Source organism: Homo sapiens, chromosome 6, assembly GCF_000001405.40.
Source record: "Homo sapiens chromosome 6, GRCh38.p14 Primary Assembly".
In the NCBI taxonomy this organism is placed as follows: Eukaryota; Metazoa; Chordata; class Mammalia; order Primates; family Hominidae; genus Homo; species Homo sapiens.
Genome location: NC_000006.12, coordinates 5749285 through 5766721, shown reverse-complemented (window position 1 = coordinate 5766721; position 17437 = coordinate 5749285). Strand labels below are relative to the sequence as shown.

General features: G+C 45.3%; 1 protein-coding gene across 12 annotated transcripts in view, besides 1 other annotated feature; it reads right to left on the bottom strand.

Annotated features, from left to right (window-relative positions):
• FARS2 (phenylalanyl-tRNA synthetase 2, mitochondrial) overlaps positions 1-17437 on the bottom strand; it is a 521650-nt gene that overhangs the window by 4862 nt on the left and 499351 nt on the right. The gene's annotated exons all lie outside the window — the stretch shown is intronic.
• Positions 2138-2327: an enhancer, noted in NCBI's record as "active region_23913". NCBI's record gives its function as "activates an Ori minimal core promoter by ATAC-STARR-seq in GM12878 lymphoblastoid cells {active_cell/tissue: GM12878}" and the evidence as "EXISTENCE:reporter gene assay evidence [ECO:0000049][PMID:35858748]".

Genomic DNA, 17437 nt, shown 5'->3' with positions numbered 1-17437 from the left:
ATACCACTGAATTGTACACTTTAAAAAATGGTTAATGTTATGTCAATTTTTCCTCAATTAAAATAATAAAAACTAGGAAATCTGGTTTCAGAGCCCAGCTATTAACTGTCACCCTCTTCCTTTAATCCCAATGTCCTCTAAGAAGTGACAAGGTTTGCAAGTTATGGAGAAGAGTAATTTCTTTTAACTGTTCTGTTAAAAAATGAGATGGAATGAGCCCATGCTCCTCTCTGGCTCTGCCCTTCCACCAACAGAGGGCACAGCTGGACAGGAAGAATGACTGTGAGTGGGGTGGGCTGTGCCTGGGGCACAGACGATTTAATGTCTTTCCTGCTTATAGGGGCATTAAAAGGTGGTCTGGGAAGCCAGACAGCTGGCTGGGAAAATGGGATGGCTGCAAGGGTAAGAAAGGAAGGGTAAGAGCATGGGGGCCGGGGTGGGCACCACGAGGTTGCTACTGTCCTCCCCCAACTCACGCAGGCACACTCATCAGGACAAGAAGCCTGCCCCGAAGGACAGAACAGGCTGCACTGACTACCTGGAGTTTTAGAGGCAAACAAAAGTTCTCTTTTATGTACTTCACAGCTTCTACTCATAGGCAAAGTAAACCAGATTGCCCATTACTAAGTCTGAGAGGTCAAATCCCATTATAAGGAGTTTGAAGAGAGATTCTAAAAAAATTTTTTTGGTGCTACAATTTCATTGCATTGGGGTATTGGCTAAAATGAGTTGGTCACTGGATAGAGTTTGATTTTTTTTAAAGATTTTGGTATAGGCATCTTAGAATGTTTGAACCTCTGGGGCTTCCATTGTCACCAGTTTATTCATAGATTCCTTTAGTTATTCAACAAACAGCATGTTTCAGTCACTGAGTTGGACACAGAGAAGCACATGAAGGGGACCCAGTATCTGCCCTCAACCAGCTCACATCCGGGAGTTAGCAGCCTGCTGAGGTCCTGCAGAAACCCAGGAGCCGGCTGAGCAAAGGACTGTTCCCTAGTACGCCCATGACAGCAGGAGGGGCTGGTACTTGCTTGGCGATGAAGTCAGCCACACCGCACCCCACGTGGAACCTCATGTTCTCCCGAGATTTGCTCTTCAGTGCATAATTTCTCCCACCTCCCCGAGAACACTGACACGCGCTGTTTGTCTAGTACAGTGCGGCACTACAGGGCCCACCAGAGGGCTTCAGGTTATCCTGCCTGCTAGGAGCTTACCTCTTGAGAGGGGCAAACAGAATATAAGACAGCCCACGCTCCCTGCCATTGGCAGGTGATGAGCGATGCCATAGTACATGCTGTGCCCAGGGCCCACCTCTTCCACTCTCCCACTGCCGCCCGTCAGCTCCCCTTCTGAGAGATTCAGCCTGGCTCTTGAAACTGGAAACATGACTCAAGCTTTTCCTGAAACTTACTTTCACTTGGATCCTGGTCCCTGCTCCAGTGTGAATGCCACCTAACTTTACCATCCTGTACAAGAGTAGCTGCTTGTGTGGAAGCCGAGAGCCAGGGCCAGAGGGGCAGCCCCGTGTGGGCCAATGGGAGAGCTGGGCTGGACGGCAGAATGCAACAGCAGGGAGGGGATGGCATATTTCAATGCCGCCTCCTACCAGAGCCCCTAGACCAAAGACAAGGATGTATAGGTGCTGAGTATAGTCAGGGCTGGATCAGTGAAGCATTCTCAAAACTATAAATGTTTAAAAGGGGTCCCTCCCCAGTGATTATTTTCTTTTCCCGATCAACTTAAGTGATACAACTAACAAGTACCAAAAGCACTGCCAAGAGTGTCACTGCTCTCCAGTTCAAAGTGTGCCAAGAAGGAGATTTTCTAAAGAACTCTCAAGCCTTATTGGAAAGCTGGCACAAGGGGTCAGAGTGTTAGCGAGGGTTGGAATTCCTCTATCATACAACCACTTGGTTTACCCTGGCAACCAAACAGGCTCTGCACTCAAAATAAAACCTTTCCAGGGGATCCAGCCAAATCCCAGCTCCTGCAACATCCACAATAGTCTGCTTCTCCATCTGTGACAGAGCAGCGACTTCATGTTCTTGGATGGTGCGCTCAACACCTCCCAGAATAGATCACATATGACCAGCAGTCACTGCAGCTGCCATCTATTCATGCAGGGATTACTCAACGGGAGAGAAGATGCTGTCACGGGGCAGCTTCCATTTTCAGAGTAACAAACACTGGGTTTCCCCGGCTCACTCCTCATCTGTCTCCTGCTTGTCTGATGCAGAAGCTCAGTCTGGAGCTGCCCACGTCAGAGGCACTGTGCATGGCTGCGAGGGTCAATACGTGCAATGCTTTAGTGGGTAGGGCTGGACTCGGGCAAGAGGCACAGTAAGGCAGGAGGAGGAGGAGGAAGTGAGGACAGGTTCCATGGCCTCTCCTGAAAATATAGAAGTGAATGGGCATGGTGGAGTGGAGAACCAGACTTTGCAGCTAGAGAAACTTGGTTCTAATTCCTGCTCTGCCCTTTGCTAGCTGTGCGACTCTGGGCAGCTTACATCACCCTTCTCGCCTCAATAACTCCATCTGCAGAGTGAGGCGAACAAAACTTGCTTTCCAGGGTTTGTGAGGACTGAATGAGGGGGCGTGTAGAGTGTTAATACAGAGCCAGCCACCCAGAGTAGGCGCTCCATACCTACGCATCCGCCCCATCTTCCTCCTTTACTCCTGTGGCTTATTGGAGAGTGTAATGAGGCTGTGGGGGTGAGGGACTTGTATTTCCTGTGTTTCTTTTACCCTCCTCAGAGTTTGGACTCTGACTTTGGACTGAGGATGGGAAGAGATTCCTTCCCCTGGAGCACGGATGCATTAGTTAGCTTTGGCTGCAACAGTGAAGTGAGGAGTGGAAGTCAGATTGGGCAGGATTTAAATAAGTGGTCTGGAAACTAAGTAAATCATTTTCCCCCTTTACCTTCTCTATGTTAAAAAAAAAAAAAAAAAACCAAAAGGGAAGAGAAGATGAAATTCTGATCATGAGACTTAGGGTCTCATGACTCTATACGGTTTTCCTAATGAACTGCTCTGGGCTTAATGCAAGAAGAGGACACAGGCCTGGAGGCAGGAGGCCTGGGTGCCAGCCCAAGCTCCTGTGATGACTGTGTGAATCTGGGCGAGTCATTTAACCTCTACTGGCCTCATTTTTGCCCCCAGTGACAGGAGTGGAATAAATGTGCTCTGAGGCTCCTTCTGGCTCTAGAATCCTAGGAGTCACCTCAGAAGACAGAAGAGATCCTTTTATTTATTTATTTATTTGAGACATGGTCTTGCTCTGTCACCCAGGCTGGAGTGCAGTGGCAGTGGCACAATGATGGCTCACTGCAGCCTCGACCTTCTGGGCTCAAGCAATCCTTCCACCTCAGCCTCCTGAAAAGCTGGGACCACAGGCATGCACCACCACATCTAGTTAATTTTTTGATTTCATGTAGAGACAGGGTCTCGCTATGTTGCCCAGGCCAATCTCAAACTCCTAGGCTCAAGCAATCCTCCAGCATTCCCAGAGCCTGCACAGGAAGAAAGGGCAAGGCTAGGATGGGCCCATGATATGAGCGATGGGAGCCGGAGGGAAGCACGCTGGCCTAATGAGGGCAAAGTGCAGCGTGGCAGGGCCCACTGAGAAAGCCATCGTGCAGATGATGGGGCTCCATCAGTTAACAATGCTCTGGACACTTCTTCGCCCCCTCCATCTATTCCCTTTGTTATTTCGCAAATACCATACACGCACTCCCCAGAGGAGGAGAGGAGGTTCTCCTCCTCGTTCTCACAACGGTCTGTCCTGGGCCTGACGCTCCTGTGGGGCCATTCTGAGCGGTGCCTCCCCCAGCTCCCAGCCAGTGAACACCAGTGTTGCCGCTCCCTGCTGCTGCTGTGCCTGTGATTTCCTCCCAGAGGGATTTCTGTTCCTCAGAGTCAGTCACAAGAAACCAGTCCAGATGGTTCCTCTGACAGTTACTGCCTTGGGAAAGACAACTCCAATCCAGGCCTTGATGGAGGCAGGGCCAGAGGCAGAGAGAGAGAGGGCCTCCCCCGCCGGGCCCAGCTCCTAGCCAGCACACGTCGGCAACGTAAGAGTTCCTTAGAGACACGTGTTTTGCAGGCAAGAAATGCTTTTTAACATCAAATACTCGCCAAGTCCTCAGGGATGTTTCAAAACACCCCCAGGTTTTTATTCCCATCACTCCCTGTGACTTCTCCTGGTACTTCCCAGTGAGTGTCTCCTGCCAAGCACCTCCTGCGGGATGTGGCCGAGCTCCTTGGTCCTTGCATGCGTGTGTATATGACAATAACTGCTCCGGGGAAATCTAATGGACTCTCTTATGGAGAGACTTGGGATGCAGACTCGCCCAGCTTTACCACTTCTCAGTTACAGAGTCTTGGGCTAGTTCTTAATTTCTAGTCCAGGTTCTCCTTCTAAAATATAGATCATGAACTAACAAGAGTTTTTGAAGGAATTGAATGAAAAAAATGTATAGGTAAAGTGTTAAGTGTTGTTCATGCTAACAGTTAACAGTTGGTATTATTATTCAGGCAGCTGAAGGTTATCCACCTCTACTTCAGCCCACACAGAAAGACCTGAATGACCTTAGACAAATTATCTGAGCCTCAACTTCCTCGTCTGTACAGATGGATCACTGATATGATACATGCTACAACATAGATGAACCCTGAACACATGATGCCCAGTGATTATTACTAGAAATGCAAGTTGGGAACCCACATTATATTGAAAAACAAAACAAAACAGACAACAGCTCACTGGTGTGCACACAGCAGGGGGGCTGCAATGAGTCTCATGTGATTGGTTTCTGCCCTCCCTGGATGGAGCATCTTCATGATTTCATTAGCTTAGCAATGAAGATACCTTGCATTGTATACAAATGCCTCTTTTTTTTTTTTTTTTTTTTAGATCCTCCACTCTTAATGCTATGGCAGGGTCTGGCCATATTTAACACATTCTTTTCAACTATTCCATTATCTTCTGAGCCATCCTTTTACATTTCTAACAAGAAGTAATGTCTCATTTTGCACATATTTCCAAAGCCCTGTGCTTTTCGTTTGTGTGGAAAATTTGGAAGAGATTTTATTTTTCTCTCTGGCTTAGTCTGCAGAGCCAAAGTCAACAGAGCTAACTTTAACTCTGTACTGTTACAAGGCAGCCTCCCAATCGTGTCGACACTTTGGTGGATGAGTCAGGTAACAGAACAGAAGATCTGTGGCAGGTGAAGTGCTACGTTTCCAACTCAAGCAATTGATCAGCATTTATTTGTTCTGTGCTGAGGTGGACATTGCAGGAGACACAAACAGGTATACGAACTGCTTGATCAATACATACATATTCATGGAGTGGCTGTTCTGTGCATGACACAGTGGTAGTGTGAGGGGAAGATGTATCTCAAAGTTACAGAAAGAAGGATTAGGCTATATTACAATCCACTTGGGGTCCATAAGACATTTATACATGAATAGACAGTCAACAGGATGAAACCATTAATACTAAATGTTAAATAAATGGCATGGACCATAGACAACTTGGAAGTCAGTAGACTGGCAGAGGAGATGAGATTAGGTCTAGATGTTAAAGCACAAGTAGGATTTTGACAGGTGGAGAGCAAGGAGCTCAGTCCAGCTGGCAAAACGTCACCAGAGGTACTGGTGGCAAGGGGCATTCATTGTATTATTTCCCCTTCCATTTCAAAAAAGATTTGCTGAGTATATGTTCCAGGTACAAATGGCCCAATAGGGACCTCTTCAGACGGCGCATGACCTACTGAAAGAGGACAGGCTGTGTACAATCACCGTAGGAAGCTGGCTTTGGCCATGGTATGTCCACAAAGTGGTTCACCCTGTCCAGGAGCGATCAGAGCAGTTTCACAGACTGGCGCCAAATGAACTGGTGATGGAAGGATGGGACATGACTTTGGCACATGGTTAAGTGGTACAGAGGAAAAGCCCTTTCTGCGGAGAGCACAGACAGAATTGTGAGCCTGCACAGACCAGTCCAAGGAATCGCAAATAGCTGAGAGCAGCTGGTCTGCGTGTACAGACGGTAGAGTACAGAAATGGGCTGGGATGCGGCAGGGAGGGGTGGGGTCACAGAAGAGAGCCTTATATTTCTGTTTGAGAAGGCACAGCCAAAAATCCATCATTAAGAAAGCGACAGGAAAAACTGGACCCAGGATCAGGTCCTGAAAAGACTCCTCTGAAAGGCTGGGATGACCCTGCTCTGAGTGGCTTCACTGCATACAGACACCAGCCTCCTGTTCACTTGAGGTCTCATTCCTGGCAAATAAGAGAGAACTACTGAGATGTTAAATGAATGGCACAGACCATAAACAAGTTGGAGGTCAGAAAAGATAGGCAGAGGACATGAGATTACCATGTCACCCATATGGTATTAAGAGCCACCTATCCAAGGAGTTCACTGCGGCATCACCCTCAACCCCCATTATTCATGAGTAGAATTACCTATGACTGTGTTATGTTGTAAAACTTTTATTTCTTCAGCGACTAATGGAAGAAATAGGTTAATTACTTTAAGACTCAGTGTCCGTTAATTATGAAGGAATTACACATCGGTAAAGAGAAATTTGTATACATTTCCAATGACACTGTTATTTTGCAAATACCTTTGAGGGGAACTCTGGGTCTAATTAATTGCACCATCTCTCGACAAACAGTGAGAGATTGAAGGGAAGAGGGGCAAAACAGGGATTTGGCTGGTAGGATGCACCTCCTCCGTCTACAATATTCTAGGCTGGAATATAGCAGTGATATCCTGATTAAATATTCATCATACAAGTAACATGTTCATGAAATCACAGAGTCAAAGGTAAGGCACCAGAGGGGTCTTCTGGTCCATGCTTGAGCTCTTTCTGCCAGGCCTTATGTTGGATTCCTTGTGGGGCAGCCCATTCCATGCTCTGACAGTGTGGGCTCCCCTTATACTAAGCTGACGAGTGTGTCCTGTGTTTCTCCTCACTCGCCCTGGATTCACTCCAGTCCTTCTCCTCCATGATAGCCCTTCAAACTCCTCTACCCGTTTTTGGCAGCAAAACAGCATGACAGCCCTGGCTAGGAAACGCCAGGACCACTGGTGGTCAGAGTCGAAAGGGACCCTGGAAGCAGCACATATGATGTTTAACATCACTGTCCCCATTCATGCATCCACTCAATTCATTTATTCATTCAGCAAATGAATGCCGACCACCCACCATATGCCATGTATTCTGCTGGGTACTGAGGACCTAATGGTGGAATAAAACAAAACAAAACAAACAAGACATGACTTGTAGATTCCACAGTCTAGCATAGGAGACACGCATTAGTTAAAGAATTACAAAGAAATGTAAATTACAATGTGCTAAAAGTTATGGAGGGAAGGTACATGGTGCCATGAGGCCACACAAAAGGGCTATTAAAAGTCAAGGAAGGTTCCCTGTGGAAGTACCAACAAGCTAAGGCCTGACCGATGTAGGAACCGATGGAGTGAAAGAAAGTGAGAGCGGGTGGCGGGCAGTCCCAGACAGAGGGGATGGCACATATCAAGGCCCTGTGATCTGAGTTTAAATTCCCATTCTCCTCCTCTGAGCTATGGGATCTAGGTAGATCGCTTACCTTCTCTACATATGGGTTTTCTCATCTATAACATGGAGAAAACAGTTCTGCATGTCCCGTCAAGCTCAGTTTAGAGCACCACCATCTCAGGGCCTCCTGGCTTAGATCTTTTTTTTTCTAATGAAACAGAACCCCAATCTCTCTGCCCTTCCTATTTGTATCCCCTAAATTACACTGTATGTGGCACAGCTCAAAGCAAAGCTGCTCTAGCTGAAGGGGCAAGAGGACCCCACATACTAGCCTTCTGCCCCACTCAACACAGCCCTTTCCCATCCGCTCCTCAGAACCCCTAAGGCTCAGGGGGCAACTTTAAATTGACTCCATTTTTTAACAATAGGAGAGAGCGAAGCTTCCAGAGACAGCGATTTGCCCAAACTCATCTCAGAATTTACAAATTCAAGTGAAACTTGTTGAAGATATGATGGGAACTCATTTAGGGGAACACATTCTTCCAAAGAGAGAGAAATCCTTGCTCTGCAGAGCGTAAAGGCAGCAAGACAAGCACAAAACAGGTTGGTTGAGGAGGTCAGACACTGGATTCTCAGCTTAGAGCTCCTCTTTGTAAGAGAAGTGAGTTGGTGCGAGTCCCTTCACGGCTCTAAGCCTAGGTAGCCCTGTTTTACAGTGAGGATTCCAACTGCTTCACAGTGTTACTGAGAGCGGATAAGTTTTTCAGGCACTTTATAATTATAAATGACTATTTAAATGTATCACTATAAAAGGGAGACTTCATTTTTGCAAATGGCCCGGCAACATTTAGAGCCAAAATTGGTGAGAAAAAGTAATCTAATTGATTAATATTCCATATATGTTAAAAGAAGGCATAACCATAAAGTAACAAGATATGGTTCCTGATGTGGCTTATTATTGGGCCTATAAAAATTCTTTAAAAAAAAAAACTGGCTGCATTACAGGACTTCAACATAGACCACATGGAGGGTGTAGTGTTTGTCTGAATTCAGAAGTTGCTGGAATGTTTGTGCTTACTGTTTCATAGCTGTATCACAGTTATGGCACATGTCTTGTGGATTCATTTTTACCTTCTAGGGAGGAACGTGACTATCCCATACAACCTCTTCACCTGAAGAGCTAACATAACAAACTGATGGAAACTCATCCTAGAACCATGTACTTCTCTATGAAAACAACTTTTAAATTCCAAATATGCATAAAACTAAAGAAAGCTCTGGGCCTTGCCATCACACAGTGTTGGTAAAATTGAAGACATTTTATTAATAGTAACCGTAGCAACAATAGAGACAATGAACAATTATAAAGTTATGCGGCTTCCAGAGCCCTTGTACCCACATGATCTCACTGGCTGTGATTGGAACAGCCATCCTGAGAGGCAGACACTGTCACCTCCTATTGCAGAGATGCACCCAAATATTAGGTGACAGAGGTGGGATTCCAATTTAGGCATGCAACTGCCTCCAAAGCTATGCTCTTAATCCTGGCTAGAAAACATTATCTGACGTTTGCGGTCAACGTCTCAGCTATATCCCACCTCAAAGCACTAGCAGGTTTCATAAGGCTGATCCCTTGATGAAACTTGAGGGAATAATCTTAAAATATACTTCTGCGAAAAAGTAATTTTGCTTGGGGCAAGTGGGTTGGGTTGGGTTCAAGGGCACAGTTTTTTTTTGGAGGTCTGGCTATCTTTGCTACTTGGATAAATCTAGGGACTCTCCAGGTCTCAATAAAACAGAAATGATGCTATTTGCTCCTAACTACTCCCTCAGTTAGGAAAAATTGAAGCCATAAGACTGAAGCATTGTCAGCAACTTGGAACAAGTAAGTACTAATAAAGTAAAAGTCAGAGTCAATAAACTCTTTCAAAATTGTATTGAGTTGCAGTTGTCCATTTCCAAACTTTGTGAAAAGAAGTGTTCTCTTCTTGGTATTTTCTTACTTCAAAAGAAAAAAAAAAAGATGTCAGGCTTACATTTCTGGGGCACTGGAGAGAAACATAATCAACTTTCTCAAGTTGAAGTCTGTCTATTATGAATGCTTAGGCAGAATTTAATAAGACTGCCCATGGGTTAATTTCAAAGGCAAAATGTCAAGAGGCTTCAATTACGGGCTTGGGGGGATTGTGAAACACTGTCATGCCTTGAAGAAGCTACTGGTGTGGCCCAACATTTTTAGGCCCCATTGCTTCGTGCTGAATTTTTTACTGGGCAAATAAATGAGCACAGGTTGGGTAAAGTGTGTGTTTTGGACAGGTGGCTGAAACATGTGATCGAAGAGTATGTCTACCTCTTTGTCTACCACAATTTTTCCTATGTATGACAGTTAGTTTATAATCAGATAGTATGACTTAGAAAGTTCTAGAGTGATGCAGAATAAGATAAACTAAAGATTCTACTGCTACATGTACCTAGATGTGCTGAATAATGTTAATATGATTTTTTTGACTCTTTGTCCCCACTTAAATCTCATGTTGAATTGTAATGCCCCAGTGTTGGGGGAGGGATCTGGTGGGAAGTGATTGGATGATGGGAAAAAATTTCTCCCTTGCTGATCTTGTGATAGTGAGTTCTCATGAGATTTGGTTGTTTGAAAGTGTGTAGTGCTTCCCCCTCGCTCTCTCTCTCTCTCCTGCTCTGCCATGGTAAGACATGTCTGCTTCCCCTTTCACCATGATTGTAAGTTTTCTGAGGCCTCCCGGCCATGCTTCCTGTACAGCCTGCAGAACTGTGAGTCAATTAAACCTCTTTTCTTCACAAATTACCCAGTCTCGGGTTGTTCTTCATAGCAGTGTGAGAATGAACTAATACAATATGTAAGAGTAGTGACTTTATAAAAAAGTAGGTAGCTGAGGAGATAATAAGAAAGCAAGGGAAAAAAATCTCCAGACGCAAAAAGTAAATAACACAAACCACAGCAGTAAGTGCCCAATGCTGTAGCTACCTGGAGCAGAGAAAGTATCCATTATTGTAACCTAGAGCTTAGATTTTAACCTTCACCTGAGAATGAAAGCTTTGGCCGACATGAACCAAGAAGTTGGAACTGAGATTCCTGCCCGGTGTGGGTATTCTAAAGGGTTGCCACCCTTGATGTAACAGCAGACTAGGGAAAACAAAACAAAACAAAACATATCCTTGGCACAGACTGGCAAAAAGGAATCTTGCCTCTGTCTGGATTTGAAGAACACGGAGAAGAAGCCTACCCTGAAAATTAAAATTCCAGGTCTGTGTCTCATGTGGATTTAGAGTTCAAAGTGTACAGTACCTCAGACCCTCAAGCTGAGAAATTACCATAAAACTGGTCTTGGGAAGGTGCTAACCCTTGAAGACCTGGCAGAAGAAAATGCAGAAACAGCACTGAGGAAAAGGCTGGCCACAGGGGATTGTCTCAGGATATGCTCCAATGAACATAACCTCAAGGCCCCAAATTACAGAACACATGAAGAAATAACCCATTATATACTAAACATAAAAGACAGAAGGATCAGTGTCCCAAGGATTTCAGATACAAGAACAATAAAAAAAGTACTTAAATGATTGAAAATGAATTTAAACAATTAAGAATGTTTAAAATGCTTAAAGACATAAAAGAACCACAAGAAAGAGCATAATGAAAAAAGAATGGCAGGGACATGGATGAAGCTGGAAACCATCATTCTCAGCAAACTAACACAAGAACAGAAAACTAAACACCACATGTTCTCACTCATAAGTGGGAGTTGAACAATGAGAACACATGGACCCAGGGAGGGGAACATCACATACCAGGGTCTCTCAAGGGGTGGGAGGCTAGGGGTGGGATAGCATTAGCAGAAATACCTAATGTAGATGACGGGTTGATGGGTGCAGCAAACCACCATGGCATGTGTAAGAAAACTGCATGTTCTGCACATGTACCCCAGAACTTAAAGTATAATAAAAAAAGACTTACATAAAAATGTATGGAAATAAAAATATAATTTAAAAATGAGTCGCAGAGTTAAATGACAGATTAGACACAGCTGAATGGAGAATGAGTAAATTGGAAGACAACTCTAAGGAACTGTTTGGAATACAGTAGAGAGAAGGACAGAAATGGAAAATATAAAACAGGTTAAGAAACATATAGGATAGAATATGAGTATCAGAAAAATGTAGAGAGAACAAAGAGAGGCAATATCTAAAGAGACAATGACTGAGAAGTTTCCAGAATTAATGAACTCTTCAGACTCAGGAAACATAATAAGTCCTGAATGGGGTTAATTTTTAAAAAACTGTATTAGTCACATTGTAATGAAACTGCAGAACACCCAAGATGAAGAGATGACCTTGGAAATAACTAGAGAAGAAAAATAGGACTTACAAAGCAACAACAAAGAAATAGCTTTCTCAGTAGCTACAAAGAGTTCAGGAGCTAATGGAATAATACCAAGAAACTGTCAACCTACATCAATTATACCCAGCTAAGCTGTTATTTTAGAACACTGGCAAAATAAAAACATTTTCAAAGTGAGACACAATGAAAAGGTCTGCAACTCACATACCTTTGAAGAAAGACCTAAGAAGGGTATATTTCAGGAAAAAGGAAAATGAACTCATAAAGGAAGTGGATGTGAGAAGCTAGCAACATTAACATGATGGTTCAGATCACAACCTATGGAAACTAAGTTTACTCTCTGGCAAGACTGTTTTAAAGCCGTGGTTTCAGATGCCCCAGTCTTCCAGAGATACTCTCAGATGGTTTTCGCAGAAGTGCCCTAGGCTGGAGTAAATAGCTCAGGAGAGCTGATCTCCTGTCCTGGCCGTTACAATCAGTCTCAGGCTTCCCAGAGATCCGACTACTCCCTGGAACACACTGTGAAGCAAAACAGCAGAAGGGCTGAGAGCGCTGGCTCTGAAGGCACACGGACCCACTCTCAGTGCATACTAGGTGATTCCACTGTGGCAAGTTACTGAATCCTTCTAATCCTCAGTTTCATCACCTTTAAGTCAGATAGATATATGTGTATGAGATCCTAACACAGTGCCTGGAACAAAATAAATACTCAATAAAAGATAGCAGTTACTATAATTATCAGTATTACAAGCTTTGTTAATTTGCTTAATGAGCAACACACATATTTATTTAGATTAATAAAAAGTTATGTGTCCCTGGTGTTACTTAAAAAGAAAAAAGTAAGAGCACTGATGTTAACTAAAATTTCGGTGCCATGTGTTAGACACTATGTAGGCAATCTCATACTATTCCTGGCCTGTGAGCCCCTCTAGCTGCATGTGACATGTAGGCAGGTCCTCTCTCAGCACCACCATGGTGCTGGACTGCCACTTTTCATTAAAACTATGAGAAGTTTTAATGGCCGGTGAGTCTCTCTCTGAAAGGCTACGTTGACCATATTTGATTTGGAAGAAGAATGATCCTGTTTGGTTTTGTCTTTTAAAAATCACTCTCTGCAGCAACCTCTGGTCATAGGAAAAATCAAAACAGAGCAGAGAGAGAAGACAGACGTGCTGTTCCCTTTTCAACAGATAGGACAAAGGCATGAAATGTCTATGCATGTTACATGGGGAGGTGATAGGTGGCAAGAGAGGCTGGGTTACTGACAGCTCCGTGCCACAGCTGATCATTTCTGCGATTCATTAAAAGACACTCATTCACTTTAGCCTCCAGGTACAGAAACTGGTCTATTCCAATGACAAAAACAGCAACTCACAAATGCAGGCAAGTGTCCAAGGAGAAAGCTGCAGAGGGATCTAATATCTTGTTGGCAGGCACGGAGCAGAGCTCTATAGCTGGAACAGAGGTTTAAATATAAATTCTGAGTCCTAGAGAAAAATGTCCGAGAGGGCACCCTTTTTCTTTATTATCTACCAAATAAATTGATGTCCAAAGTAGAGTCCCCTCTGGCCACCATCTTTCTTCAAAGTTTGCAGTAGTAACTTTGATTCATAATGTTTTCACACAACACATGTTCTTGCTCTCTCTCTCCTCCCTCACCCTCTCTCCACCTCATTGCCCTCAAATCAAGAACGAAGGGATTTTAGGTGCCTAAAACAAGAGTTTCTACTTGTTTTGGGCAATTTCATATGACTATCTCATATACTTCTCAAACTCTCTTACAGAGCATTACGCTTACAGTAACAATCAGGAAACTGAGAGCTGGGAGGGTCATGACTTGCCAGTTCACCCTGCTGGGTGGGGCAGAGTCAGCACGGTTCTCTCCGGACACCACACTGTCCCTTCCTAAGACATACCTGGGAGAGAGACCTGGGGGGGGTCTTGGGGAGGGCAAGGCGTGGGGTGTCAGGAGGTTTGGGTTCCTATGATGTGGGCCTTCTTCTTACCCATCTGTGTAATCCTGAGCAACTGCCTTCCATCCCTGGGCCCCAGCTCCTTCATCAGGACCAGGTGACCACTAAGATCTCTCTCTGGCTCCTCAGCTCTAAAAGTCTCCAAGAGCTTCCTAGCGCTTCTGTGTCAATCTCTGGTGAGGACAGACAAAAATCTGGGATCCAGGGGAAAGCATGTTTCTAACTCATCGCAGAACCCGTCTGTTCTGTTCCACTCTGGCAGTGATCCTTGCTGTTAGCATACAAGTGAATCAGGGGCTGGGAGACCTGGCTGTTTGTGGCATTTGAAGCGAGACTTTGCTATAGCCATTCTGAATAAGTAGCTACAAAGCTGCTAATTGGATTCGGCAAGTTGCTGAGTCACTGTCGTGTAAGATCAAGTTGCTCTGTGCTGATGATGAGGCCCATCCTGTCAGCTGCCGAGAACATTTTCTTTGTGATTAAAAAGAACAGGAGTGTGCAAAGACACATTGTGGATTAGTTTTCACAATTTACCATGAGTAATTAAAATCTAACAGACCGCAATTAGACAACATCCACCAGAACCTTATTTGCCATTAGTCTTTTAATTAAATATGTCCCATGGTTTAGCTCTAATTTTGCACAGATTTCTGATGGGGGCGGGGGAGAAACAGAGCGCTGGACACCCTGATGTATTGGTTATGACATCTTCCTGGAAGAGGAGGGTAGGGAGGAAGCTTGAGTGTTTCGTATAAATCACTTACTTTCCCTTCTTGGGATCTTTGCACGGCACAACAGAGATATGAAGTGAGCCTGGCTCCTCACTAAACCACCTCCGGGCACATGACGCATCCCAGGACACCCCATGAAGAGGGGCCAGGGCAGAGCTGGTGGGGGACTTTGATTTTTTAATCTTCCAGCACTGACAAGGTGAGAAGTGGGAGAAATGTGTCATTATGCCTTAAAAAGAAATGTTTAATAGGGCACTCAGGCACAAACTGAAGTGGAAAAATCATTTTTAAATGGAAGAAACTGAGAGTCCTTTTTTGTGATCTCATTGGCTTATCATGAAGGAGGAATGTCAGTGCTTGGCATGTCCAGGGTCACTGTGTGGAATCAGAGCCATAGAACAAGGGCGTGGGGAGGACCTGTCTTCCTGTGCACAGCCCAGGGTTGGGGGTGGCCCAGGCCAGCACAGGCTTCCACTAGGCCCACCCCTGGCACTAGTGGGCAGAAAAGCATTTACTCCAAAAGCCTCCTTTGGAGTTGGGCATGGAGAGGGAGGAGATATTCTACTCTAGAAGCTTGGAAAGGATCCATGATTGCAATTAGATTTAAGGACTCTTTTAAAGGATTCCTCACTAGAATGAATGTGGGTGAGGACAGAGTTAAAGGCAGTTCACACAATGGCTCCTTCTTAAGCTTGCTTTTTGCCCAACAGGAAAATGGTGTCTACTGCTTGCTGAGAATTGATGCATTTGTATTATTTCAACAGCCATCAAGTGCCCAGGATAACAGCACCTAAACCCAAGGCCAGAAGATGCCATTTGCCTGATCAACTAAAAGTAGATGGAAAGCCCAGACTTAGCCTGACTCCATTCATTGGCTACTCATGGCTTTCCTTCCAAGACTGACAAATTGCGGAGGTTCAACTTATATGATTTCCTAATACAATTAAAATCACTCGAGGGAGAGTCCTTACAGAGAGTTATGTTCCAAAATATCATCTGTAAGACTGAGTTTGGGCCTGGAATGCATCGTACAACTCAGAAAAAACATTGAACAGTATATGGTGTTAGGATTCCGGCCCAGCCCCCCAAAACCCGCCTAACTTATTATATTTACGAAGTTCACCTTAGCATGGGAAAATGGAAGCATCAAGTTCTAGGTTGAGTCAATTGGGTGTCTAGCAAAACAATATCCAAAATGATGGTGACGAAAGACTTAGAAATCCTAAAAGAAGGGGTTGACCATGAGAGATGATCACAGATGAGTGGGGAAGTTGAAAGAGAGCCTATTAATAGTCATGTTTTAAAATATTCTAGCCTTTCTTTCCAGGCAGAAATAAGAAGCCACCAAGAAACGCTTTCAAAGTCCTGCCACCAAAATCACAACTCCCCCGCCTCCTGCATTCACACCAATCCTGTTCGTTCTCTTCTGTCCCCTCCTGAGTCTAACCCTACCATGGCGAGCTGCATTCCACTGCCTTCGACTTTTCAGGGGCCTTGTCTACCATTGATCCCTTCTTCCTCCTGCACCTGCAACCCCTCTTTCACCTGGGACCCTTCTCTTCCCGCCTACCAGCACTTAGACAAGCCGAACTCACTCCTGACTGGGCCTCCTCTCTGGTCGTCTTGTTTATCTCTTGCCTGTCCTTCTCAACCAAGCTTCCTGAAAATATCTCCATTGTCCAGCCCACTGCCATCTTGTCTGATCAAGGGTACAAGTAGCAACTGAAGGCCGGTTTGTGCATCAGGTGCAGGGCTGGGTCTGCGTCCGAGGAGAGAAGGGTGCCCAGTCATCACTCCCACGAGGGCATGTTCTTCCCCTTCCTCTATATCCTGCCCCACCCCCGACCTTCCATTTCATCAATTCCCGCTCATTCCTCAGGTTTCTGCTTGGAAGGTCCTCCCTGGAAAAGATTTCCCTGCCCCACTCTTCTAGGTATTCCCCTGGCATTGCCATGCTGTCGTATCATGATGGTCTGACACTTGTCTTTTCCCCCAGTCCCAGACCCACTAACTCGGAGAGGGCAGGGACTCTGCCTTTCTTCACTTTCACATGCATCTCCAGCACCTGGCATGATGTTTGGCCCACAGGAGGGGCTCCACAGATACCTGGTGAATGGCAAATGAACAAACTTCCTTACTGGGTGGAATGCGTGTAACTCCCCGCAGGCCCAATATCCTCAGCCTCCCAAGGGCCACTCCGCTCGGCCAGCTGGAGCACCTTCGTGGCAGCCGTGAGTGGAGGCAGCACACAGATGTGGACCTGGATTGCTTCATGTTCTCTCATTAGCAACATGCATGCCTTCCCTAGTGACAAGCCTTCTTCCCCAGGGGAGGAAGTCGGGCTGGTAGCCTGCCAATGACTGCACCTAGGTTACAGCTTTGGGATGGGGAGGATAAATCTCTTTATGGACTTTTTACTTCATAAACTGTAAACATGCCAGAAGGAAGAAGTTTTCAGGCTGAGAATGAACCTTGAAGAGCAAACACTGTTCACAGGGGCCTTCAGCACAGAAGGCACGGGCCAGGGTCTGAGGCCTGAGCACAGCACGGTTGGTCTGAAGGACCAGCAGCTGTATCTGCCCCGCCTGGGTCAGTGCCAGTCCCAAGGAGGAGCTGGCAGCAGGAGGTGACACAGAAGCCCCTGGCTGGCCTCTACTGCCACTGGCACCTTCCATCCAGGCCACCAGCAGGGTCTCTGTTTCTGGTCCTCCCCACCCTGACTGCAGCCTTCTTCCAATCCCCACCACAGCTGGTGAGATCCTTTAAAAACATCAATCTGATCATGTCACACCCTGCTGAAAATGCTTAGCCAGCCTGCCTGTCCCC